The 26,370-nt window shown below is 34.6% G+C and overlaps 2 long non-coding RNA genes across 3 annotated transcripts; one reads left to right on the forward strand and one right to left on the reverse strand.

Moving 5' to 3' along the window:
• Positions 1-2,012: 2,012 nt before the first annotated feature.
• Positions 2,013-5,520, reverse strand: LOC124904313 (uncharacterized). Its single transcript, XR_007066393.1, has 2 exons — positions 5,190-5,520; positions 2,013-4,775 (listed from the first exon to the last, which is right to left on the reverse strand). It is a non-coding gene; the product is annotated as an uncharacterized LOC124904313 (long non-coding RNA).
• A 6,939-nt stretch (positions 5,521-12,459) lies between these two features.
• LOC105372156 (uncharacterized) lies at positions 12,460-21,025 on the forward strand. Of its 2 annotated transcripts, none has more exons than XR_935556.3 (4): positions 12,460-12,783; positions 16,523-16,630; positions 17,707-18,142; positions 20,483-21,025. It is a non-coding gene; the product is annotated as an uncharacterized LOC105372156 (long non-coding RNA). The 2 variants fall into 2 exon arrangements; XR_935555.2 differs by lacking the exon at positions 12,460-12,783 and adding an exon at positions 14,672-15,027.
• Positions 21,026-26,370: the final 5,345 nt, after the last annotated feature.

A 26,370-nucleotide genomic window follows, 5' to 3' on the forward strand; every position in this document is an offset into this window, starting at 1 on the left:
GTCCATTCATGGATGAATGGATAAAGAAAATGAGGTGTATATACTCAAGGGAATACTATTTGTCCATTTAAAAAAAAAGGAAATCCTACCATTTGTGACCACATGGATGAATCTGGAAGTCGTTATGTTAAGTAAAATAAGCCAAATAAGTTAAGTAAAATAAGCAAAATAAGACACAAAAAGGACAAATACCTCATGATCTCACTCATAAGTAAAATCTAAAAACATTGATCTTACAGAACTAGAGGGCAGAATGGTGTCTACCAGGGGCTGAAGCAGTTGGGGGAGGGAGTTCAAGGGGAAGTTGATCAAAGGATACAAAATGTCAGTTAGATAAGAGGAATAAGTTCAGGAGATCTATTGTAGGACCTGGTGACTACAGTTAATAACAACATATTGTATTCTTGAAAATTGTTAAAAGAGTGGATGTTACATGATCTCACCACAAAAGTGAAAACTATATGAGGCAATGCATATGTTAATAAACTAGATATAGTCATTCCACAATGCATATATATATCATATATATACACATTCCACAATGCCTATGTAGGAAATGCATGTTAATTAACTGTATTTAGTCATTCCACAATGCCTAGTGTGTGTACAACATGCATATATGCAATACTTCATACATATATACCAAAACATCAAGTTGTACACACAATAAATAAAATTTTGTCAATTTACAAATAAAATGAAATAATAATTTTAAAAAGCCACCAAGCAAAATATCTCTTAGGAATAAAATTTGGCCCACTGGCCAATTTGTAATCTTAGAGTATAGAGCCAATAATAGGGCATATTTTCATGTGGATGACAATGAGTAACTGTAATATATTTTTGGCACAAAAAAAACATAAATGTGGCCAGGTGCGGTAGCTCACACCTGTAATCCCAGCACTTTGAGAGGCTGAGGAGGGTGGATTATGAGGTCAGGAGTTTGAGACCAGCCTGGCCAATATGGTGAAAACCCATGTCTACTAAAAATACAAAAAAATTAGCCCAGTGTGGTGGTGTGTGCCTGCAGTCTCAACTACTCAGGAGGCTGAGGCAGGAGAATCGCTTGAACCTGGGAGGTGGGGGTTGCAGTGAGCCAAGATAATGCCACTGCACTCCAGCCTGGGCAACAGGGTGAGACTTCATCTCAAAAAAAAAAAAAAAAAGAAAAAAAAAGCATAAATGTATGTATGGTATGACATTATTTTCTTTTTACATGTGTATTTATTTTATTTCCCTTCGTAGTAAATGTGACAGTATACAAGGACTTGAGCTCATTATCTCCTCCAAGTAGAAATACAATTATAAAGTTTGCATATTCTTTATTGAGTTGTCAAGTTGCAAACACATTTTACCTAACTTTCATTTCTACCTTTGGGGACATCATTTTCTATTTTCTCTTACTTGCAAGCAATCCAGAGGTTTTGGGTATAAAAATAATCTGTCTTCCTACTATAGCCTTCCTGCCTACTCTTTGAGTACTTAATGCTCACTTCATCTTCCCTAGTTCTGAGGGAATCTTTATTCATTTTCTCATACCTAGTGCATTATCAGCTCTGCTGACTGGAACTGTTAACATTATCTCTGCTTCAGCTCCTGCTAAGTTGGCTGCATGGCAGCAATATCCCATCCACAAAATGGCAGATGCTCAAAGCCTGCAGGTTAGCAGACTGATCCTTCTTCAGCATTGGTATGTGTCCAGAACCTTGACATTATTGTTTGGCCGTATTTTTTTTTCATTTGAGAAGTTTTCAAATTTGTCTCCAACCCCCACCTTGCTAACAGGTCTCTATTTAACTTTCAGATTTCAGATACCTTTCTTTTTATGGCTCAAATACAAATTTTCTGCAGTCTTCTCTGATTTCTTAGCCCACCATGAGTATGTTGAAGTAATACATTTTATTCTACATAAGTACCTATCATGAGTTTTCAAATAAATTGTTTTTTATATTTTGTCTAGTACTTTACCTTTTCCTAAAGATAGATGGATGGTCAATGGAAGTACAGCAGAATTCCCAAACCAATAAGCATTTATTATGTTTAAGGTCATTTCTGGAAAACAAGTCTATCTTGGTGCAGCCTTGAATTAAGAGGAACGTTCTATTCTTATCTATTAACCATTTGAATGTCCAGGGCTGCAGATAGACAATTTTAATTCATGCCTTAATGAGTAGAACAAATTGAGTATATCAATATTTAATGAACATATTTTTCAATGCTGACAAGGAATTGACTATAAGGAAGTGAATATATACATTTTTGTATAATTGTACATAAAATATATTTAAACTGATTTTAAATATTCTTCATTTTTACACTCAAGGGAATGAAAATACCATATGTTTTTCAAACAAAATGCTAGCCACATCAATTTCATTTATTCAGAAGAAGCTTTTCATAATGCAAAATATAAACTCATTAAGTAGCTTCTCTTTGTCGCTAAGATGGGGATTGAAATCCTTGACATTGCACAAAGGCCCAGGAGGTGTAGTCTGTGGCTTTCTCTGAACTCTTACTTCCTCTTGTGTTTCCTATTGTTTTATTCATATCCATTGGCTTCCTTTTAGTTCCAAAAAGATGTAGTGCAGCTGTCTCCATTATGATCTCAGTACATCTTTCTCCTTCCACCTGTCATGGTCTGACTCAACTTTCACTCCCACAGCTCTCTCCCCCAGCATATTTCTTGCTAAACTGCTGAATTCAAAAATGTTTTTTTACTCAGAAACCTTCCTTGACTTCCAGGCTACATGGAATCTTTGACCCTTAGGCCAGAATATTCTATAGCACCATGAAAACTCTTTCATAACATTTATCATGGGTATAATTTGACACTCATATCTGTGACATTGTGTTTAGTGCCCAGCCCCGCCCTTACCTACCCAGCCTCCTGCCACTCAGACTATAAGTTCTATGAAGGCAGAGTCTCTCTACCCTTTTTCTCACCACAAATCCACCGTCTCAGCACCATGTATGACAAGTGCTATAAATATATGCTGCTTAATGACTAAGTGTAGCTCAATCATCACACCAGATAAAGCTCATCTTTTTTTTTTTTTATACTTTACGTTCTACAGTACATGTGCACAACGTGCAGGTTTGTTACATATGTATACATGTGCCATGTTGGTGTGCTGCACCCATTAACTCTTCATTTACATTAGGTATATCTCCTAATGCTATCCCTCCCTCCTCCTCCCACCCCACAACAGGCCCTGGTGTGTGATGTCCCCTTTCCTGTGTCCATGTGTTCTCATTGTTCAATTCCCACCTATGAGTGAGAACATGTGATGTTTGGTTTTTTGTCCTTGCCATAGTTTGCTGAGAATGATGGTTTCCAGCTTCATCCATGTCCCTACAAAGGACATGAACTCATCATTTTTTATGGCTGCATAGTATTCCATGGTGTATATGTGCCACATTTTCTTAATCCAGTCTATCATTGTTGGACATTTGGGCTGGTTCCAAGTCTTTGCTATTGTGAATAGTGCCGAAATAAACATACGTGTGCATGTGTCTTTATAGCAGCATGATTTATAATCCTTTGGGTATATACCCAGTAATGGGATGGCTGGGTCAAATGGTATTTCTAGTTCTAGATCCCTGAGGAATCGCCACACTGACTTCCACAATGATTGAACTAGTTTACAGTCCCACCAACAGTGTAAAAATGTTCCTATTTCTCCACATCCTCTCCAGCACCGGTTGTTTCTTGACTTTTTAATGATCGCCATTCTAACTGGTGTGAGATGGTATCTCATTGTGGTTTTGATTTGCATTTCTCTGATGACCTGTGATGATGAGCATTTTTTCATGTGTCTTTTGGCTGCATACATGTCTTCTTTTGAGAAGTGTTTGTTCATATCCTTCGCCCACTTTTTGATGGGGTTGTTTGTTTTTTTTCTTGTAAATTTGTTTGAGTTCATTGTAGATTCTGGATATTAGCCCTTTGTCAGTTGAGTAGATTGCAAAAATTTTCTCCCATTCTGTAGGTTGCCTGCTGACTCTGATGGTAGTTTCTTTTGCTGTGCAGAAACTCATCTTGATGATACTGTTTTAAAGTGTTTACAATAGTCTCTAGGCCTGCTCTAACAAAAGATTAAAAAGGGGGTTCAAAAGAGCCTAAGAAGAAAATATTTACATGTGTAAATAGGACACCCAAAATACAGATTCATAAACTATTTTCATTTTTGAGTTATAATTTCTATTCTATTTCCCTGAAATACTTCAACACTGACCGTCACATTGTGGTCCTTCCTATAGATCCACAAGCCTAGCCTGAAACAGAGTGTGAGTTATCTTCCTTAGGATGTTGTGTTTCCACAAACCTCAAGTCAAACTGCCCTTTTTTCAGCTCCCAAATTCATCATTGTATAGATATATGTTCTTGAAAATTACTTAACATGTTAATATTCTCAGTTTCTTCAATCTATAAAAATGTTGTCATTATAGTACCTACACCATCAGTTTTCCATGAGGATCAAATGATGTAATGTGAAATGGAAAGCATATAGCAAACACATAAATACATATAATGTTATTTACCTCTTGTACAAATAGTTCTGCTTAATTAACATTTAAATTATACCCCATCAATGCACATAAATTTAGGTTTTGATGTGCTGAAGCAACATACATACTGAGAAAACATTTCTGTCTCAATGATGGGTAACATGTCCTTTTCTAGTGATTATTTCTTAATCTTCCAAAGGAAAGCTTCTTGAAGTCTTTAACACTGAGGAGGAATGTTTTCCACATTTTTCATATGAGACAAAAGGCTAGAAAAGACAAAATTAAACGAATGGATTAAATGTATGGATTATTTTATTCTTCATCTACTATGGTCATCAGAGCTGTTTATTTGGCATCTACATCGTTGGTTCACAGGATAGTTTAGTTAAAGTGGACTAGGCAGTCAGTTCTCATTAACATTATTAAATGACAGTCACATAATTTCAAAAGAGCAGCAAGACTTCAAGGCATTTAAGAAAAGTTTTAAAAAATAGACAAGTATTCACCAAATTGTACCATATTCTAGATAAATCCAAAAAACTGAATATGGTCATTTATTTTCAAAAAAGGATATATTTCTACATTAAATATGCAAAATTCTACTTAAATTTGCATTCAAAGTGGAAATAGTTAAGTGAAATAAATAATTGTGGTTTCTTATTGAAATGTATATGACTTACATGTTAGATATGTTTTTCCTTTTTTAGGGCCTTCTAGATGCATGTAATCAGATGCAAGCTGAATATCTTTTCCAGTCAGGTAAACTCTACAATGTTGACTTTGACACGGCGGATAAAACTATTCAGTGTGGCCGACATGTTGATATCTTCAAGCAGTGGTTAATGTGGAAAGCAAAGGTAGGAATTTGTCATCTTTTACTCATTCTACTTTTTATTGGAGTAGAAAAGAAAGGGGGTAAGGGTCATATTAATATGCGTATTTGGAATAAAACACCAAAATTTTAAAGTTTTAGGGCTATAATAATGTGGTTTTTAACAAGAGCAAATTTAACTAATCAATCGAATGATTTTCATTATTTATTTGGGATTTTGACATTTTACAACCACGAGATAGCAGAGAATATATGAAACTCAGGTGTGTTCCTAAGATGAGAACCTCTCAATGTCGTCAGGCGCCAAACAGATGTGTAAGTGTCCGAAATGCACAGGTTGTTAAGAAAAGAGGGAATAATGAAACTGGAGACTATAGGACCAGTCTGACTCATTCACATTTAAATTACTCTGTAGCAATGCACCATCTATATTGATGAAGTTTAACAGTTTACTCATGATTTGTTGAGCACTATTTAACCAGGCGGCAGTCTAGGTGCTGGCGAATGCAGTGAGCAAAGAAACCAAATTTCCTTTTCTCATGTCAGTGACATTTGGGAGGGTTGTGGAGGATTTGGGTGCTATAGACAATAATCAATAAGTTAGCTAGAAATGATATCTAAAAAAACTAAGGGAGCTTAGAGAATATAGAGTGATGACAGGTCATGCATTAAAAACAAGGACTGTGGATATTGTTTTCAGTGTTACGTAAAATCAGTAAATGGTTTTGATCCAAGGAGAGACAGAATCAGATGTATGTTTTAAAGGGAATTGTTTTGGCTTCTTATGATAAATGCACGGCAGGGAAGAGAAGAGAAACAATATGATTAGTTAGGAGGTCCTTCCAGTGGTCTGGGCAAGACATGACAGTGGATTGGCCTAAAGTGGTAGCAGTGAAACTAGTGAAAAGTAGTTGGATCCTAGAGTAGTTCTAAGGTAAAATAAATAGGACTTACTAATGGATTGGATGTAGGGTATAAGAAGGAGGGAGTGAAAGAACATTCCAACCATTTTGATCTGAGCAACTAGGAGAAAAGAGTTATATCCTGAATTTAAGAATGTGATGGAAAGAACTGATTTTTATCATTGAAATATCATTTTTTTAAGTTAAGACTGACAGATAATAAAGTGAAGATTTTGAATAGTGAATTGAGGTTCAATTTGGAAGTTGTGGAAGATAATATACATTTAAAAAGTGTTTACATGTAGATAGTATTTGAAGTCATGGGACTGACTGTAGGTAGAAACAAGAGAAGGCAGGGAAATGAAACTTAAAACATGGAAATCAGGGAGAAGCAGAAAAGATCCAACCAGGGACACTCTGAAGTGTAGCCAAGTATATAGAAGGATAACTAAGAAGGTGAGGTGTCAGTCAGGCGCCGTGGCTTATGCCTGTAATCCCAGCACTTTGGGAGGCCAAGGCAGGCAGATCACCTGAGGTCAAGAGATTGAGACCATCCTGGCCAACATGGTGAAACCCCATCTCTACTAAAAATACAAAAATTAGCTGGGTGTGGTGGCGCAAGCCTGTAATCCCAGCAATTTGGGAGGCTGAAGCAGGAGAATCGCTTGAAACCTGAAGGCAGAGGTTGCAGTGAGCCAAGATCGTGCCACTGCACTCCAGCCTGGCAATAGAGCGAAACTCCATCAAGAAAAGAAAAGATGGGGAGGTGTCACCAAATCCATGGGAAGAAAGAATTTCAGAAAACAAAGAATGATACTGTATCAAACTCTGTGTATTGCTTGACTAAAATGAGAACTGGAAATTGAAAAATAAATACTTCATTGTGGTTCAGTAAGAACAGTTGTGTGAGAATAGAAAGTAAGGAAATGAAAAGAGCAAATGTAGAAAAGTGCTTTGAGGAGATTGACTATAAAGGGCGAGAGAGACACAGTGGTAGCTGGAGGGAAATTCACATCCAAAGGAATTTTTGTTTTTGTTGTTATAGATGAGCTTTGTTATAGCATACAAATATACTTTTTGTCATAGTCTAATAGATGGAAAATATCATTATGCAAGAAGAAAGTGAAAAAGTGGAATGGGTACTTTGTTGTAGGCAAAAGGTGAGCAAGTGACGTAGTTTACAATTAGATGGGCTTATCCTATCTAGAGTCAGGTGCAATCCATCTGTTGTATTATGTTGGTGCAAAAGAAATTTCAGTTTTTGCTATTATTTTTAATTGTTTTTTACCATTAAAAATGGCAGAAACCACAGTTACTTTTGCACCTACCTAATAACTAGAGGAAAGACTGTATACAAATAGGCAGAATGGTAGACTTGGTTCTACAATGTTATTTGCTGAGTTTTCCTATTTTGTTAAAGAGCAAGAAACAAGATCATCTACTGAAATTGTGAGGAGTGAAGGGAAACTGGAGATTTAGTGAGTCGAATGAAAAATTATCTATGCAATGGAGGATTGGCCAGGAAACTCTAGTCAGACTGTGGAGAGGTGCTGAAGGTCTAGTTGAGATTTGTGGTTGTAACTTTACATTAACACCAAGTCTCCAAGTTGCTTTTCCCCATCTGTATTCACCTGCCCAATACAAAAACGGAGTAGCCAGAATATTGATTTAATAAGGCTAGGAGACAGTCAATTAGTGACCTTCCATTGGTACTTAAACCGATTTACACAACTCTACCTTTTTCTATTAACACTTTCAACATATGTAACTTTGACTAAGTATAAACATAGACTCAAATTTAATATTCTCTAGTCCTAATGAACATAATAGTATGATGTTATATTTAAAATAAGTAAGCTTAGGTGTCTTTGACTCTTCATTACCTCTAATAGCAGGGGAAATTTGAGAAATATCACAAGAATATTGTAATATGCAAAAAACCTAAACAAGTAATTTAAATTCTTTCAGATTCAGGCTCCTCATTTGTGCAATTACGTTGTACCTACCTCTTTATACAGATATAATACAGTTTAAATAAAATATTACATATAAACTTAATTATATTGCTATAATTCACCATATAATCCAAGAGTTATCATTGTTACAAGTTAATTTAAATTAAGATAAAATACAATTTTTTATATTATTGAGCTTGGAGCATCTTGAAACTTTTTTATGACACAGTTTAGCTTCACAAGTTTTATAAATTTTAGCTTTAAAAGCTGAAAAAAACAAATCAACATAATGAAAGTATGCATGGTTTTCATTCGTAAATGCTAAGAGAAAACAACCCAGAATTTAAACAGGAAATCCTTTCAGAAACTGCACCAAATCTACCAGAGACAAGAGGTGACAGTAAATACTGAGTCAAAATTACTAACAATGATTTTAATGGTATTAAAATTTATTATGTAATGTTATTTTTAAAGGACAATAGAGAAAAGAATATGAAAGGAGACATTTATGAAAATCATCAGAATGTGGTCAAATGTCCAGCATAATTATTTTCTTACAATTATAGGATCAATATGAAGACAGTCATTGCATATTCATGTCTCACACCTATTATGTAAAAGCTTATGGTGGAATCAAGAATTCAATCATAATTATCTATGATTATGGTCATTGTCATATGATATGAGTCATATGAAAATGGCCAAAGTCACAGACTGACCTTTTAACTCATCTCACATTTTATGATTTTGGTCACAAGGAAAATATAAATGACTAAGTAAAGGAATATAATTTAAATTCTGCAGAAGATTTTTTGGCTCTTGAATTTTTAAGAACTGTTCCAAATATAAGCTACTTCCATTGCCAGTGTGTTTACCTTTATTCAATCTGTGGTTATTTAGGTCCTAGTTATTTGCATCCAATATTTAGATGATTCCATTAATTTTTAGAACTCTATGAATCCCAAATTATAGTTCCATTATTTTCCTAAATACCTCTCAAGAAAACTGCCACCTATCTAACTGCAAATTGCAAGTGGTTTCTCAGGTCAAAATTCTAACTGAGGTGACAAGAATATTTGGCAGTCCCACCATTACCATGTACTCTATGAAATTTCAGGAATAAAAAAATGTTAGAAACATAAAAACGTGTTAGTACCTTTTTAGGCCTGTTTTTCACCTTTATTAATAGAAAGTGATAATGGGTCAAGCTACCTGAAGTCAATATTGAATCTCAGATGTGAATACTTATTTATTGCCTGAAAGATCAATCTACTTCAGGGTCAGAGTCTGAAGATACAGTTTCTCCAAATATTATACAACAAAAATTATGTGTTCTGCACCCTCCTCTTGCCCATTATTTATGTTTAACTGAAATAACCGACAAGATTTTATAAAGCTATTTCTTTCACCCCCTTCCTAGTCCTCTATAGAAAGATGGACATTAGGTTCTGTTTTATTTTGTTTTATTACATTTTGTATATATGTATGTGTGTGTTTCACCCCCTTCCTAGTCTTCTATAGAAAGATGGACATTAGGTTCTGTTTTGTTTTATTACGTTTTGTATATATGTATGTGTGTGTTTCACCCCCTTCCTAGTCTTCTATAGAAAGATGGACATTAGGTTCTGTTTTGTTTTATTACATTTTGTTTATATGGATGCGTGTTATTACATTAACATAAAATGTATTTCTTACTGTGGGTTGTTTCAAGAAGTTCAAATGTCACCCTTTTATTGCATACACTAATAGATGAACTATATGATCCTTTAGATAATTGTATAAATATAACTTCTTTTAAAAAATATTTTGATAAGTGTTGAACATTTGTTCAAGGTTGAACCTCAAGACAAGTATTTAGGTATATACACTGTTATCAAAGGTTTGACATGAACTAAAAGCATCTTTGATATATTATTAGCCCTACTGTTTAATTTGAAGTCATTTCTTTTGTTAGAAATTTGGTATTCCAAAAGCGAAGACAATGCTTTTCATAGAAATCATCTATCAAGAGCCTATTATGTAGCCAACGTTCTGATACAGATATCTATATGATCAGTAACACAGGATTACACTTAGCAATTATATAAACTTTGAAGTTTCATAGATAATTTTTACTATTCTAAGATATGCATTCTGTAAGTTCTTTTCCTGAAGATTTTTTAAATGGACAATTTGGAATTTTGGGTAAACTTAAAAGACTTTAAACCTCAAATTTTTGCACCCATGCAGCCTTGTGTAAATTTCAGACACTGATAATCCCAATGTTTCTCAACCCACTTCTGTACAGATTGTATTTTGTAAATATTTTTATAAAGTTTTTCAACTTTGTAAGAGGTCACCAGTTCTCCTATTTAATAGTTTAGCTGCTAATCAAAGCATGCAGCTTGACTTAGCTTAAATAACAGTGTATATACCTAAATACTTGTCTTGAGGTTCAACCTTGAACAAATGTTCAACACTTACCAAAATATTTTTTAAAAGAAGTGCTATTTATACAATTATCTAAAGGATCATATAGTTCATCTATTAGTGTATTCAATAAAAGGGTGACATTTGAACTTTTTAAAACAACCCACAGTAAGAAATACATTTTATGTTAATGTACTAACACACATCCATATATACAAAATGTAATAAAACAAATTTTAGGGGGGAAAAACCCTTGTAATGTATGAAACTAATAAATTCCATTCTACTCTATTTTAGAGAGCTGTCACCTGGGTCACAGTTTGGCCTTTTACAAAATTGACTTAACTGATGTATTTTTAATATCCATACTTTTGAAAATTTTAGCCTTAAAATAAACATGAAGCTTTTTAGATCAGAGAAAGATAAATTATTTACTTACAGAATATCTTAGCATAGACACTCACACTCTATTTTCCCCTTGGGACACCACCATGAGGGCATCTTAGCCTACAGGTACAAAGGAGATTTATACTATCCTGCAGGAAACCCTAAAATTGTGAAACTGGAATCTTATGTAGGAGCTGGTACATGGAGGTGGGGCCTATGAAATCTTGTACTCTGGAATTCAAACAAACAAATACTCTTTCGGGGGAGGAGGGAAAGGTCTCTACCTCATTCTAAGACAGAATGAAAATATTTGACTCCTGGGGAGATAGCAAAGGTTTAATTACCCCTTCAGTGGGAACAGACAGCATATGCCTCCACCACAAAGGGGATCAGCAGTAACAGAATGTGAAAAACAAATTGGTATGGAAAAAAAGGAGACATCTTCTATTTTTAAGTTCCAAGGCTTGTTCATTATTCACTATTCCTTTAGCCCAGGTTGTCAGTAATTTTGCTCAGAGAGCCCTAATCATGCAGGAACATGAAGTATTTTTCTTATATTGACTGAATTACTTTTAGGTTTTCTTTCATGGGTTGTCCCATATCAAGTGGCATAACAAAGAAAAGCCCTAAAGAAAGTGTGAAATTATGTATAGCCATGTGCTGAGGACTTTGTCCAGTATACACTATCCTCTTTGTGAATCACAAGGTATTTTTCTCTGTTGTCAGTATCAAGGTGTCAGTATCCAGAACAATTAGTTTAAGTGGATATGAAATTCTTAGTACAAAACGCAAATAGAATAATACGGTCTGTAAAATGAATCACAGAGGCAAATTATTGGTCCTTTTTCAGTTGGTGTGCAATACCTTGGCACTCATTTTCTCTTCTAACTTTATTCATTGACTACTTTTTTGTAAATTTATAATCATCTTGCTCAGATATATGTATTTCTAAAAAACACTGTAATATATATATATATGTGTATGTATATGTGTGTATGTGTGTGTGTGTGTGTGTGTGTGTGTGTGTGTGTGTGTATATATATATATATATATATATATATATATATATATATATATACTGGTAACTCACTTTGAATACTTTTGGTAATAAGGTTTGAAAACATTAATACATTAACTCACCAAAATGGACCTAGCACTTATTGAACATCTATTGCACTAGGACCTTTACGTGTGTTATCTCGCTTTTGTTTTCCAATAGTTCTGTTGGATACGTATTGTAATTGCCCAGCAGGGTCTTCTTTCTTGCTTGCTTCACAGATAAAACCAATGCACTCAGACAGTGGTATTGCAGTAGAGAAAGAGTTTAATAATTGCGGGGCCAGCAAAGTGGAAGGATGGAAGTTTATTTCTCAAAACAGCCTCCCTGAAAACTCTGAAGCTAGGGGTTTTCAAGTATAATTTGGTAGGCAGAGGGCTAGAGAATGGGGAAAGTTGATTGGTCAAGTCAGGGATGATGTCACAGGAGATCAAAGCTGTATTCTTGTGCTGAGTCATTTCCTGGGTGGGGGGGTCCCAAGACCAGATGAGCTGGTTTCTTGGTATGGTTTATCAGCACAGGTGATCCTAGCTGGTCCATCAGAATGCAGGGTCTAAAAAATACCTGAAGCACAAATCTTAGGGTTTACAATAGTGATGTGATCTTTAGGAGTAATTGCAGAGGCTAAAAATCTTGTGTCCTCTGTCTATATGACTCCTAAACTATAATTCTAACCTTGTGACTAATTTGTTAGTTTTAGAAAGGTTGATTCAGTTCTTGAGCAAGGACAAGGTTAGTTTTGGGAAGGGACTGTTATCATTTTTGTTTTGAAGTTAAACTATAAACTTTATCCCATAGTTAGCTTGGCCTACACTGAGGAAGGAACTAGGGCAGCTTGGAGGTTAGAAGCAAAATGGAGTCAGGTTAAATTTTTCTCACAGTTATAATTTTTGCAAAGGCAGTTTCAGTACTATTATGTCTATTAAGTAGATACAGAAACAGTAGCTTACTGATGGATGGAGAGAACTAACTCTAAGCAATAGAGTTTTAGATGAGACCTGGCTACTCATCTATAGCCAACACGTACGTTTCTTTCCACAAGTTCTTGTTGGCTGTCTTGATACAATTCATAGCACTATAAGAATGGCAAAAAGTGCACACAGAATAGTGATAAGAAATCAGGTTCATCTTTTTTTGTTTGCATGCGGAGAATATGGCATAAAAATGATGCATCTGTAGATATTACAGATGCAGGGCTATTTCAGGAATAGGTGACAAAAACTCAGTATAGTGGAAGGTTTTTTTGCTCAAAAGTAACATTCCTACATGGTGCAAATCAGGTTCAGGTAAAAATCTGTGTTGAGCTTGAAAGAAAGGAGTTGACTTGAAAGTTTGTTATCATAATTTATAATTATTAAATATTTAAATATTTTTATGTGAGCCACCATTAGTACTCTTGCCAAAATAATGGGCATTAAGAGAAAATCTAGAAATATAAATAAAAAATTCTATTTTGTTATCATTTGCTTTAATTACACAATGAATACTTTGTTTTTTGCAAGAGGAGCCATGATTAATAAAATTTAGATTTCTTATAAATGTAATTAATTATATAAAGTACTGTGACATTATAAAAATCAGAGAAAAAATAGACATATAAGATTCCACAAACATTACTTACGTATGCAAAAATAAATATAATGCAAAAGCCTACTTTGAGATGAATTTGTTACATGAATTGGACAGGTCCTGGAATCATAAAATGAATCTGGCCATCAGAATGCTACAGAAAGCTTAATTGTCCAAGAGCCTCATCTGCTCTTCTAAAATCCACCATTGCATTTACTTTGAGTCTGTGCTTCCGAAAGGTTGTTCCAGGCAGTGACTGAATTGGCAAGGATTCCAAGGCAGTCCTCATTCCTAGGAGACAGGAGAGTCTTCTGAAAGCTGACTTGGCATAAAGATACCTGTGGCCTTTCTAAATCTTCCTCAGACTTTATGGTAGTCATGGATGCTGCTCCCTAACCTCCCTTTAACTTAGAGCCAGACTTCTTCACTGTCTGATGCCTCTCCCAGTCTAATCGGCTCTCTCTCCTCTGTCTTTCACACAGGGACTTCCACCAATACAATTCTTGAGGATTTTTAATCCCATCTTGGCATCTGCTTTTGGGAGGACCTGGTCTAACAGAATTTCTTAAAGTTTAGACTAAAGTTGCCATTGTCTTTGCTATTTAATCTTTGTAGACATTTTTTCAAGAAACTTAAAAATGCATTTACTATATAGACAGACACATGGCATAATATTTTTATTGTCATTTCAACATGCATGAATGTTACCAAAAGATTCTACAGAAAAAAATTCCGGAGAGTGATATGCTCTATGGCAACGACTTCAGTGGTTCTTAGCCTCATTTCTTCAGAATTAAGAGTCAGAATATTCTTTTTCAATAATATCAATTAACTTTTCTATAAGTTTGTTTTGATTTATTTTTAACTACCAGTAGTTTCCCCTGAACTAATTGCCCTCAGGAAAAAAAATACCTGGCATAATGTCAAATGATAAAGTGGTTGTCTCAAGAAATTAGTTCATTGACATTTAATCCTACCTATTCATAGGCATTTCAGTGACTAACAGTGCCTTTGCCAAGCCAATGTTTGTTTGCAATTGTGAGCTGCCAGGTTTGATCATACGTTCTTACAATCAAAACTTATATTTTGATTTGTACATATATACATAGTTTAATCATTTAAATAAATAGATAAATTAATGTATATATGTCCCTATTTCCTAGGGAGAAAAATAAGACATTAAAAAAGAATACAGAGTGCTAGGGATGATGAGTATTTATAATGTTAAATAGAAGGATCATCACCAATAAAAGGTGATATTTGAATAAAAATCTCAAAAAAGTGAAGAGGAGGTCATGCTGCATTTAGGAGAAGCATAGCTAAAAGGAAACACAATTTAAAAACTTTGAGACAGAGCCTGCCTACTTTGCATAATGCACAACAGGAGATCTATGTGGCCAGAGTGGAGTGAGTATGGTTAATACAGAGAAGTAACACAAGTAAGAATGGATATAAAAGGGTTCCTTGACTATTAGTGTTTCCTAGAACATTACAGCTTTCTTCCTGCATTGGAAACAAGTCCTAGTTTAAACAGAAAGTGTGGCCTTTTGGGACTCCCAGCATCCTCACTTACAGTATTGTATGTTGTAGATGCAACACGCTTACATTGTACTGACATCGAGTGTGACTGGGCTCCTGTGTATCATGAGTCCACTGGAATACTATGCTTATGGTGCATTTCAAATGCTATGTATAAATGAGGTGTTAAAACATGGTAGACATTTATGTTGCATGTATATCCTTAGCTTATGTGCATGCTTCATTGTCCCATTGGACTTTGCTTACAAAACACAAGCCCAAAATAAAACTTTAAAGAATTTCAGGACTGTGACAGCACATCATTCAACTAATATGAAACCCTTTTGAGTACGGGAGCCCTGTGCGACTACACAGCTTGTACACCCATAAAGTAAACCTTGGTCACAAAGATGGTTTAATTACTGAGAATACACTGAAGTACCACCTCATAGGACTGGAAAGTCTCCACACTACATAAGCCTAAAGTAAATGTGAATGGCATGGCCTCAACATGGGCAATCGATGCCTAGGCAGAAGCAGAAAGATCAGTTAGGAAGCAGTTTCAATAATGAAGGAGAGAGTGACTGGGCTGACATAGTGACAGTGAATATATTAAGAAATATCAAATTCTAATTAGATTTTGAAGGTATATTTGCCCATTCTTATGGTGCTAATAAAAACATACCCAGGACTGGGTAATTTATAAAGGAAAGAGGTTTAACTGACTCACAGTTCAGCATGGCAGGGGAGGCCCATGAAACGTACAATCATGGTGGAAGGGGAAGCAAATATGTCCTTCTTCACATGGCGGTAGCAAGGAGAAGTGCCAAGTGAAGGGGGGAAAAGCCCCTTAGGAAACCATCAGATCTCGTGAGAGCTCACTATCATGAGAACAGCATGGGGGTAACCACCCCCATGATTCAGTTACCTCCTACTGGGTCCTTTCCATGACACATGGGGATTATGGGAGCTACAATTCAAGATGAGATTTGGGTGGGGAAACAGCCAAACCATATCAAAAGGTAAGCCCAGGGAAATTTGCCACAATATTAGGTGTGGAGTGTGAGAAAAAGAGGAGCGTCCTGGGTGAGAACAACTGCAATCTTTTGGGCCTCAGGAACTTGAAAATAGAATTTACATGTTTTGAGATTGAGAAGACTGGTAGAAACAAGTTGCATATAGAAACATTAGGATTTCAGTTTTGAACATGTCATTTAAGATATTATTAGTTATCAAAGTGGAGATTTGAACAGGCAGTTGAATATATGAGTCTGAGTTTCACAGATACTAAAGCACATTAAATAAAACTGAGGAACATCTTGAAGGTAATTTAAAGTATCTTACTTAAATTGAGCCTTTGATTTGATTTATTTTAAATTTACAGGGAACCCTTGGCTTTGAGGAACAAATCAACAAATATATGGAACTTGCAAAATACTTCTATAAGGTTTTAAAGAAAAAAGATAACTTTAAGCTTGTGTTTGATGCAGAGGTAAGGAGGACTCTTAGCTTTTTATTTATGTAATTTTTGAGATAATTCAATGGATCTCTATTTTCTTTTCTGAGTATTTTTATCTGAATCTGTTACTTATCTCATGTGTTGGGAGAACCTTATAGGTATACTTAATTATTGTAAGCATTTTATTTTACCTAAGCTCATATAAGTTAGGTTTTAAAACATTTTTAATTTAAGTTCCTTTTCTTATAAGCAAAGAGTCCAAAAGACTAAGTTAATGAGTACCTTCAATTTTTACATTTTTAAAACAATGAAACTGTTTGCTTTTAACTGCGTCTCTGGCATCTCTGACACTAAATAGGATGTAATTTAATTGTTCTTAGTTTTTTTTTTTTTTGTATCTTAGAGTAGGCAATTGCATTTCCAGACAGTAGATAATATAAGAGAAGGTAGGCTTTAAATTATAATAATCTTTGGTACATTGTTATCAAGTCACTAAGCTGATATTAATGAAAGATTTGAGAATTTTGCTAGCATTACATTGTATATCAATCTTTAAGGCTCAATAAACCTTCTACTGGCACTCATTAAATCATTCTAATAAGAGTAACTATTAAGAAACAAAGGTGCCTTGTTTATCTTCTAAATTGTCTCCGTCTCTCTCTGTTATTATCTTAATATTTGCTTATTGCTCTGCTTTTAAGTGAAAACTAAACTTTTCTTTGTTTTTAATACTACGCACAATCTGACAGTTTAACTTCGTCTCTGAAATAAGCTTTGATAGCTGACTTAAGTTCCCTTCCATCCTTTGTCTATGTGAATGACACTCAGTCATCTAAGCCAGAAACCTTGAAATTCATCTTGAAAGCCTGACATTCGTCATCATGCTGATCAATTCTTTCCCTTGAAGCTTTTGGAAATGGAAACACTCCTATCTACACTACAGCTATGCCTTCAGTGAAGTCCTTTTCATTCTCTCCTGAATTATGAGAACATTCTATTTACTAATATTCTCCTATCTTCAATCATACTTCCCTCGAATCAATTATCTTTCAACTTGAGTGATCTTTCTCAAATACAAAACTGATGCTACCATTATTTGTTTAAAATAGTTGACGTCATGGTCATGGCATGGATGAATGGAAGTTTGAAGGAATTTGTAAACCAAAATATGGGGAAGATGATAACATAGATATGAAAATCCTCAAGAATTATGACTCAAGAGTTTATTGGAGAAACAAGCAGATCCCGTGCCAGACTAGGCCCTCTCTGAGGAAAGTAGCTACTTCTTTTATCTCTGAATCCAGGCCCTGACATGTACTAAGCACAGAAAGAAACCTTTATTTAAATACATAAACATTAAGTGAGATAAATTAAAGTACTTCTGAAATAATGAAGTCACTAAAGAATTAAGTGGAGTTTTTATGGATACTTGTAAAATATTTTTCTTTGATTTAGCCTGAGTTCACTAATGTCTGCTTCTGGTATTTCCCAGCAAGGCTTAAACATATTCCAAAAGGTTTTGAAAGAGATCAAGAACTCCGAAAGGTAAAGGTTTTTTTTTCTTTTTAATTTTTAGTGTGTGGTATTTTTAATTCTAATTTTAATATTGACTTTTAATGGGTCTATTTAGTTTGGTTAGTGGATTGGTGGTCATATGATTCCAAGCTACTGGTTTAATAATTATATGGGGCTCACTGAGAACTCAACCCATTAGTCATTTTGAAATTAATCCATTCATTGGTTACATATTGAAAAAATATTTCAATGCCTAATATGCAATCAGCTGAAATTCATACGCTTTGGTTAATTTATTCATTAGTTAATATTTCCCAGGTATACCAGTAGGAGTTGAAAGTTAAAAAATGAATAGACAGAATCCTTGTCCTCAGTTGGCTTGAAAAGTTAGTGGGAGAGAATAAAAAATATAAATAACTACAATTCCAAAGAAAAATAGAAGAGATACTTAAATAAATGTTATCAATTTTAAAATATTTATCATAAATTATCTGAGCAAGAATCTGAGAGATATTTTATAATAGTTCCATTAACAATACTGAAAAGAATTAAAATGAATGTCATACAATGAGAATATTTCATCTTTATCTTCATAATTAAAGTGGACATTATCACCACTATATGCCATTTATCCATATATTTATTTTTATTTATTATTTTTTGAGAAAGTCTCTCTCTGTCGCCGAGGCTGGAGTGCAGTGGCGTGATCTCGGCTCACTGCAACCTCCACCTCCCGGGTTCACTCCATTCTCCTGCCTCAGCCTCATGAGTAGCTGGGACTACAGGCACCCACCAACATGCCTGGCTAATTTTTTGTATCTTTTAGTAGAGACTGGGTTTCACTGTGTTAGCCAGGATGGTCTCAATCTCCTGACCTTGTGATCCACCCGCCTTGGCCTCCCAAACCGCTGGGATTATGGGCATGAGCCACCATGCCTGGCCCTATCCATATATTTAATATGAGCTTTTGCCTAAACTTAATCATGTATCATAATATTTATTTTATAATATTACCACCCCTTTCTGAATTATGCTGATAGTTCAACCACGTATTTTACATAATTTGAGTTGCCCTAAAGTAAGTTGAACAAAAATTGTCTGACATTAATGTTTAAGGCCTTCAACTTTTTCTATCATCATTAGTAAATTTCACTGGGCTTGTAACAGAAAATGTAGTTTTCTGTTTTCCTTCTTGCTTTTCACAGTAGTCTTATTTAAGTATGTTATGGTTTGAGGCAAGGACTAAGTGAAGCTCTTATTTTTTTTTTCTAAGCATATAAATGTCACCTTCCATGAGGGTAGCTACCACCAACTGAGTTAGTCAGAAACAAGAAGGCTTCTAGAGGTACACCCAAACCACTCAACCTCTTAGAGTTCTACACATGTTCCTGACTGGAGGGCAAGCCAAGACTATTAAACAATTTCCCACAGTATTGCAGATAATAAAAAATACCCAATATAGTATTGTTATATTGAATAAAATATTAATTAGAGAAGGACACGAAATAAAAATCCTGACTATTGAATGAAAGAATTGAATTGTATGTGTGTGTGTGTGTGTGTATATATATGAGATTGTATTGTGTGTGTATATATATATAATTGTTTGTGTGTATATATTTACATATGCGTAAATATATATATATAAATGTATATTTGCTTCTGCACTGCCATCAGACAGTCTTATAGGAAAGTTAAATATGGATAGCATTTGTAGCATTTAAAGGTAAATTGTTTGCAGAAATAGACCATGAATAAGTGCAGATTGAGTAGTTATAGAACGCCATCTTTGGCTTTTCTGAGTGTTCGTGTCACTTTGCCCTGTAACAGTAGCCAAAGTTGCTTTAATGTGCTCTAACGCCACCTGCATGATGCCATTTTAGGAGCTGAACAAGATACTTAAACAGAGCTTGTCTCTGTGAAATTTACAAAGAAACTATATTTGCTGCAAAATAGTGACCTTGTAGAAAAACTCAAGATATACAATAATGAATGATTCAAATAATGCAAATAATACTAAAACATGATACTATTTTTCCATTCTCTATTTCATTTTATCTCTTTCCCAGGTACGTCTATTTGAATCGCCATATAAATACAAGGAAATGGCACATGCCTTTCTTTAATGCAGTCTAGCAAATTTATATTACTTTATGCTTGGTAATTGTAAATCATGGGGTAATGAGAGCTGCAATATGAATATAGAATTTGCTGCTTTTTTGTACTAAGCTACTTCTTAAAAATTATCCCTGATGGTCTTAAATTGCCTACAATTTACTTGAAGCTAATGATAGTTATGTAGCCATCTGGAATAAGGAAGAATAGTTACTTGTAAAACTTCTTTATAATAATATTTACACTTACACACAGATTGCTCCAAAGATTAAAGCACAGATGATGATGGAAGGCACAATCATGATAAGCTACCAGCCATGTGGAGACAAAGTAAATATTTTGCGAATGGTTTTTTTCTAATCCTGCCTCAAGACAGAAAGATGTTGACTATCTTATTGATGAAATTGAAAGGCTTGGGAAGGATTTATGATACTTCAATGTGAACTTGGATATCCCATGTAAACATCAACTTAATTCTATTCCTAAGGATAATAAGAAAGGAATATTGAAACTGTTATAAAAATGTTATGAATAAGAACTTTTAATTTTTATTCTATGCTATGTAAGATGAAAGGTAAGATGAAAGGTAATCCAGCTTATACACACGTACACACACACAGTTTGTTTAAATACTTAGCATCTGTTAAATGTTAGGTACGTTCTTAGTGTGCTTAGGATACATAAGAGACAAAAAATTTCTCCTCTTGTGAAGAGAAATTCCATTGTGGACATTTAATACCTTAACATGTATTTTATGTCTTTGAATTAACTGAATAAAGACTTCCTGTATTGAAATCAGTTTCAGTATCCTCTTGTAGTATTTCATCTCTGTCAAGAATAAAATATATAACATGTTTCTCTTTTTTAAACAATTACGATGTATAAATCTGTATATTTTGGAGCAGAGAGAGGGAAGGGAATAGCTGGGCTGACATATTTGCCTTTTGATCCTTGCATATTTATTTGGAAGTGACCATAGCTTGTATCAAGCTCCTAATTTAACTCATTTTTTTCCGCAACATCATTTTAATGTCCCTAAAGATCAACTGTAGTGACACCCTTTTGTAATTATCCAAAAATACACAAACCGTAGCTAACATTACATGAACACTTCTCGTGTATCACATGGTTTGCTACCTTGCTAACCTAACTTGCGTGGTCTCATTTAATTCTTGATTGACATTATGATTTAAATGATTTATTGTCTCCATTTCATGAATGTGAAGATTAAGGCTTAAAGTTTAAATAATGTGTCTAACGTCATGCTGTTGATGAGTAATACAATCAAAATCTGAAGCTAGCTAGGTTTCTTCTCAACTGTGGATAGCAAAAAATCTGCCAAATGCTTTGCTGAAATTCATGGACAGCTTTGCTCAATAAATTCTAGCGGATCCTTTATAAAACTACAGGTCCTTTAATGGCAATGAATATTTTTGCTATTTTCACTTTGATGAAAATGAATAATTGGGTTTTAAACCTTCTAAGTTTAAACTGCTGGTAAGCTTCATTATGAAACTCCTACTTAAATGTTTGTTGATAATCTGATTAACAGCCATTTTCCAGTTCAAAATTACCTTGACATAATTCATTTTATTTTAGCTGATTATTTTTCTAAAGAATATATAGTCACAATTCCATGCTCATGGGTAGGAAGAATCAATATCATGAAAATGGCAATACTGCCCAAGGTAATTTATAGATTCAATGCCATCCCCATCAAGCAACCAATGACTCTTTTCACAGAATCAGAAAAAACTATTTTAAAGTTCATATGGAACCAAAAAAGAGCCCACATTGCCAAGTCAATCCTAAGCCAAAAGAACAAAGCTGGAGGCATCATGCTACCTGACTGACTTCAAACTATACTAACTACAAGGCTACAGTAACCAAAACAGCATGGTACTGGTACCAAAACAGAGATATAGACCAATGGAACAGAACAGAGCCCTCAGAAATAATGCCACACATCTGCAACCATCTGATCTTTGACAAATCTGACAAAAACAAGAAATGAGGAAACGATTCCCTATTTAATAAATGGTGCTGGGTAAACTGGCTAGCCATATGTAGAAAGCTGAAACTGGATCCCTTCCTTACATCTTATACAAAAATTAATTCAAGATGGATTAAAGACTTAAATGTTAGACCTAAAACCATAAAAACCCTAGAAGAAAACCTAGGCATTACCATTCAGGACATAGGCATGGGCAAGGACTTCATGTCTAAAACACCAAAAGCAATGGCAACAAAAGCCAAAATTGACAAATGGGATCTAATTAAACTAAAGAGCTTCTGCACAGCAAAAAAAAAAAAAAAAAACTACCATCAGAGTGAACAGGCAACCTACAGAATGGGAGAAAATTTTCGTAACCTACTCATCTGACAAAGGGCTAATATCCAGAATCTACAATGAACTCAAACAAATTTACAAGAAAAAAACAAACAACCCCATCAACAAGTGGGCGAAGGCTATGAACAGACACTTCTCAAAAGAAGGCATTTATACAGCCAAAAAACACATGAAAAAATGCTCATCATCACATGCTATCAGAGAAATGCAAATCAAAACCACAATGAGATACCATCTCACACCAGTTAGAATGGCAATCATTAAAAAGTCTGGAAACAACTAGTGCTGGAGAGGATGTGGAGAAATAGGAACATTTTTACACTGTTGGTGGGACTGTAAACTAGTTCAATCATTGTGGAAGTCAGTGTGGCGATTCCTCAGGGATCTAGAACTAGAAATACCATTTGACCCAGCCATCCCATTACTGGGTATATACCCAAAGGATTATAAAACATGCTGCTATAAAGACACATCCACACGTATGTTTATTGCATCACTATTCACAATAGCAAAGACTTGGAACCAACCCAAATGTCCAACAATGATAGACTGGATTAAGAAAATGTGGCACATATACACCATGGAATACTATGCAGCCATAAAAAATGATGAGTTCATGTCCTTTGTAGGGACATGGATGAAGCTGGAAACCATCATTCTGAGCAAACTATGGCAAGGACAAAAAACCAAACACCTCATGTTCTCACTCATAGGTGGGAATTGAACAATGAGAACACATGGACACAGGAAGGGGAACATCACACACCAGGGCCTGTTGTGGGGTGGGAGGAGGGAGGGATAGCATTAGGAGATATACCTAATGTTAAATGAAGAGTTAATGGGTGCAGCACACCAGCATGGCACATGTATACATATGTAACAAACCTGCACGTTGTGCACATGTACCCTAAAACTTAAAGTATAATAAAAAAGTGAAGATGTACACAAAAATACAAAAAAGACAAAAAAATATAACAAAGAGGTTAAGAACACAAATTCTGGAATCAGCCTTCCTGGGAATGAATCCTAGCTTTGCTCCTTACTAAGAATTTCTCTCTGTATTCACTTTCCCCATCACTATAATGAACAATAATGGCACTTCTTCACAGGTTGTATGAGAATTCAGTGAATTGGTTGATATATTTTAAGCTCTTAAAACAGTGTCTGGCATGTAGTAAGCCCACAGTACATGTTGGCATTATTAATATCGCAACTTGACAAACTGTGAACACACACTTTAAATGTGGTTTTTGTTTTGTTTTCGGTGGTACGGTTTTGAATTCACTGTTCTCTGTTTCAAAGCTCATGTGCTTTCTAGTTTGTCTTTCTGCTTTTCTGAGGGCAAACACTTGTGTTCGAGGCACAGTGGAGAACAAAGAGACAGCAGCTGGGCCTGGAAGGATGGTTAGACATTTGTTTGGTGACAATGTCAAGAAACGTAAGATCTGCAGCTCTTTAAACAAACAAAATGTAAAGATATTATGAATTTGTCACTTGAATGAAACATATTTAAAATAATTCAACAAAACTCAAAAAAGAGACATTTTAAAATTATACTTTGGTTCTATAATTTTGTTTCTAAAGTGTAAAGAATGTCAGTTCTCTGATAAAATGATCAGAGTTTATCAGAAAATGTGATATTAATCTAGGAGGAAGAGACATATTTTTGTCAAGTAAAGAAATTTTATAAGAATTTTAGCCATGAATTATTTTTGATTCACAGTCAAGTTGCCTGCCTGCATTAACATATCCTGTAAACTCAGTGTCTACGTTTCTAACAGAAAAAATAAAGGTCATTTTTTTGTGCATCCTACTCCCTGTATTTACCAATATAAAGATATATTTGGAGAAATCTGTGAGAGACTGGAAGATTTTGGAGACAGCAAGAAATACATTTGGATCAAAACAATGGATGTTACATTTGCTGAGCTGGGTCCTGTGTTCCCAGGCAGACCAAATCAACTTGGCTGCAGCAGAGAGCTCACAATACAAACAGTAATTGAACTGTTAGCTTTGAAATTTCCTCCTGGCAACCCTGAAATTCTGTTTGGGGCCATGTCACCACTGCTGTGCCTTGGTAGCATTTTATGACACGTTCAATCTTTCACAGATAGTACACTCAGCAGTTCCAAGTCTCAGTTCTCTTATTCTCGTCCCTCAAATCATTTAGAGGTAAATAGAAATGGAAGTAGAACTGTATCCAAATTATCCTTTGCTTTAGTCAAGAGCTGGGGGGACATAGTGCAGACTTTATGTTAATTTCTTTGCCCAGATCACACATCTCAGGGAAAAATTGACATAATTAACAGTGCAATAACCTCATTCAACATCGTTAACCTTAGCACATGCAGTCCACTTCAGTGATTTATGGATAACTTTGAAAATCAACATGATTCAGCCCCTTTCAAATCCTGTGGATTGATTATTGCACAATTACAGCAAGTACATTCAATAACTGTGTTATAAATTAAATTTTCCTTTAAACAGATGATTTACTGTGATAGTTCAACAGTGCTGAATTTTTGTTACAATAATTCTGTATTGAACAGTTAAATGCTACCAAGAAATAAGATGAAAATGTGTGAAAATGCCAATTATAGAAGGATATTTTATAGCTTTATTAAATATGGCCTATACTTCTTCTTGATTTCCAAAATGATTTATAGTTCTGTGATTTTGTCCCTCATAAAAGAGGCACAATTTTGCATCATTTTGCTTTTGATTTTATGCTTACCTTTCACCCTCTTAACTCCAAAGCCGTGAAAGGTCTTTAGACTCCTCATTGAGCAAGGAAGGACTCAGGCTAGGACCTAGAATACAGCAGGGAACAAGTGAAGCTGTATTACTTGTTGATCGATTCACACATTTACAAGACCTCACAAAAATGCACACAAATAAATGTGATCATGTCTAAGTAAGAGTAGCTTTAAGGGACCTGGCTAAATGTTATTACTTACTTGGTACATTTAGAACTTACTATAAAAATCACAGAAATTTAAGCTGTTTCTCCTTCTTTGGAAGAGTACATGTGTTATAGACTTAGGTAATCTAAAATTGGCACAGGAAAACTCTATGTCAAAGTATTGCAGGCATCATAACCAAAAGAACTAATGTTTATTTATTGTTTTCTTAATCCCCTCATAATTCTTTGTATAATATTGTCTTAATTCAAACAGAGGCTTGGGATTCAGACCTAACAAAGGCAATACTTGTTCAAATAAAGACTAAAGACTTAAAAGTATTTAAAAGCAATACAAAATCAAAATACAAAAATCAATTTTATGTCTAAACACTCGTAGTTAGCAATCAGAAAGTGAAATTAAGAATTGTTTTTCTATTTACGATAGCACCAAAACAATAAAATTAATTGCAATAAATTTAACAAAAGAAGTTCAAAACAGGCACACAATAAACTGCAAGCCGTCACTGAGAGAAATTAAAGACCTAAAGAAACAGAAATAAATCCATGTTCATTATCAGAAGACAAATTTCTTGAAAATTCTGTACTCCCCAAGTTAATCTACAGACAAAACAAGAGTTTCCATAAAAATCCCAGCTACATTTTTTAGGTAAAATTTGACGAGGATTTGAAAGTCATTTGACCAAACATTTCTCCAAAGAAGATACACAAGATAAGCACAGGAAAAGATGATCAATATCATTACCGTTAAGGAAATGTAAATCAAAACCACAATGAGATATCACTTCACACGCATTAGGATAACTAAAATAAAAAGACAAACAGTACCAAGTGTTTATGATAATGTAGAAGAAACTGGAACCCTCCTATATT

The sequence above is a fragment of the Homo sapiens genome, chromosome 18, assembly GCF_000001405.40.
Source record: "Homo sapiens chromosome 18, GRCh38.p14 Primary Assembly".
NCBI classification, from domain to species: domain Eukaryota; kingdom Metazoa; phylum Chordata; class Mammalia; order Primates; family Hominidae; genus Homo; species Homo sapiens.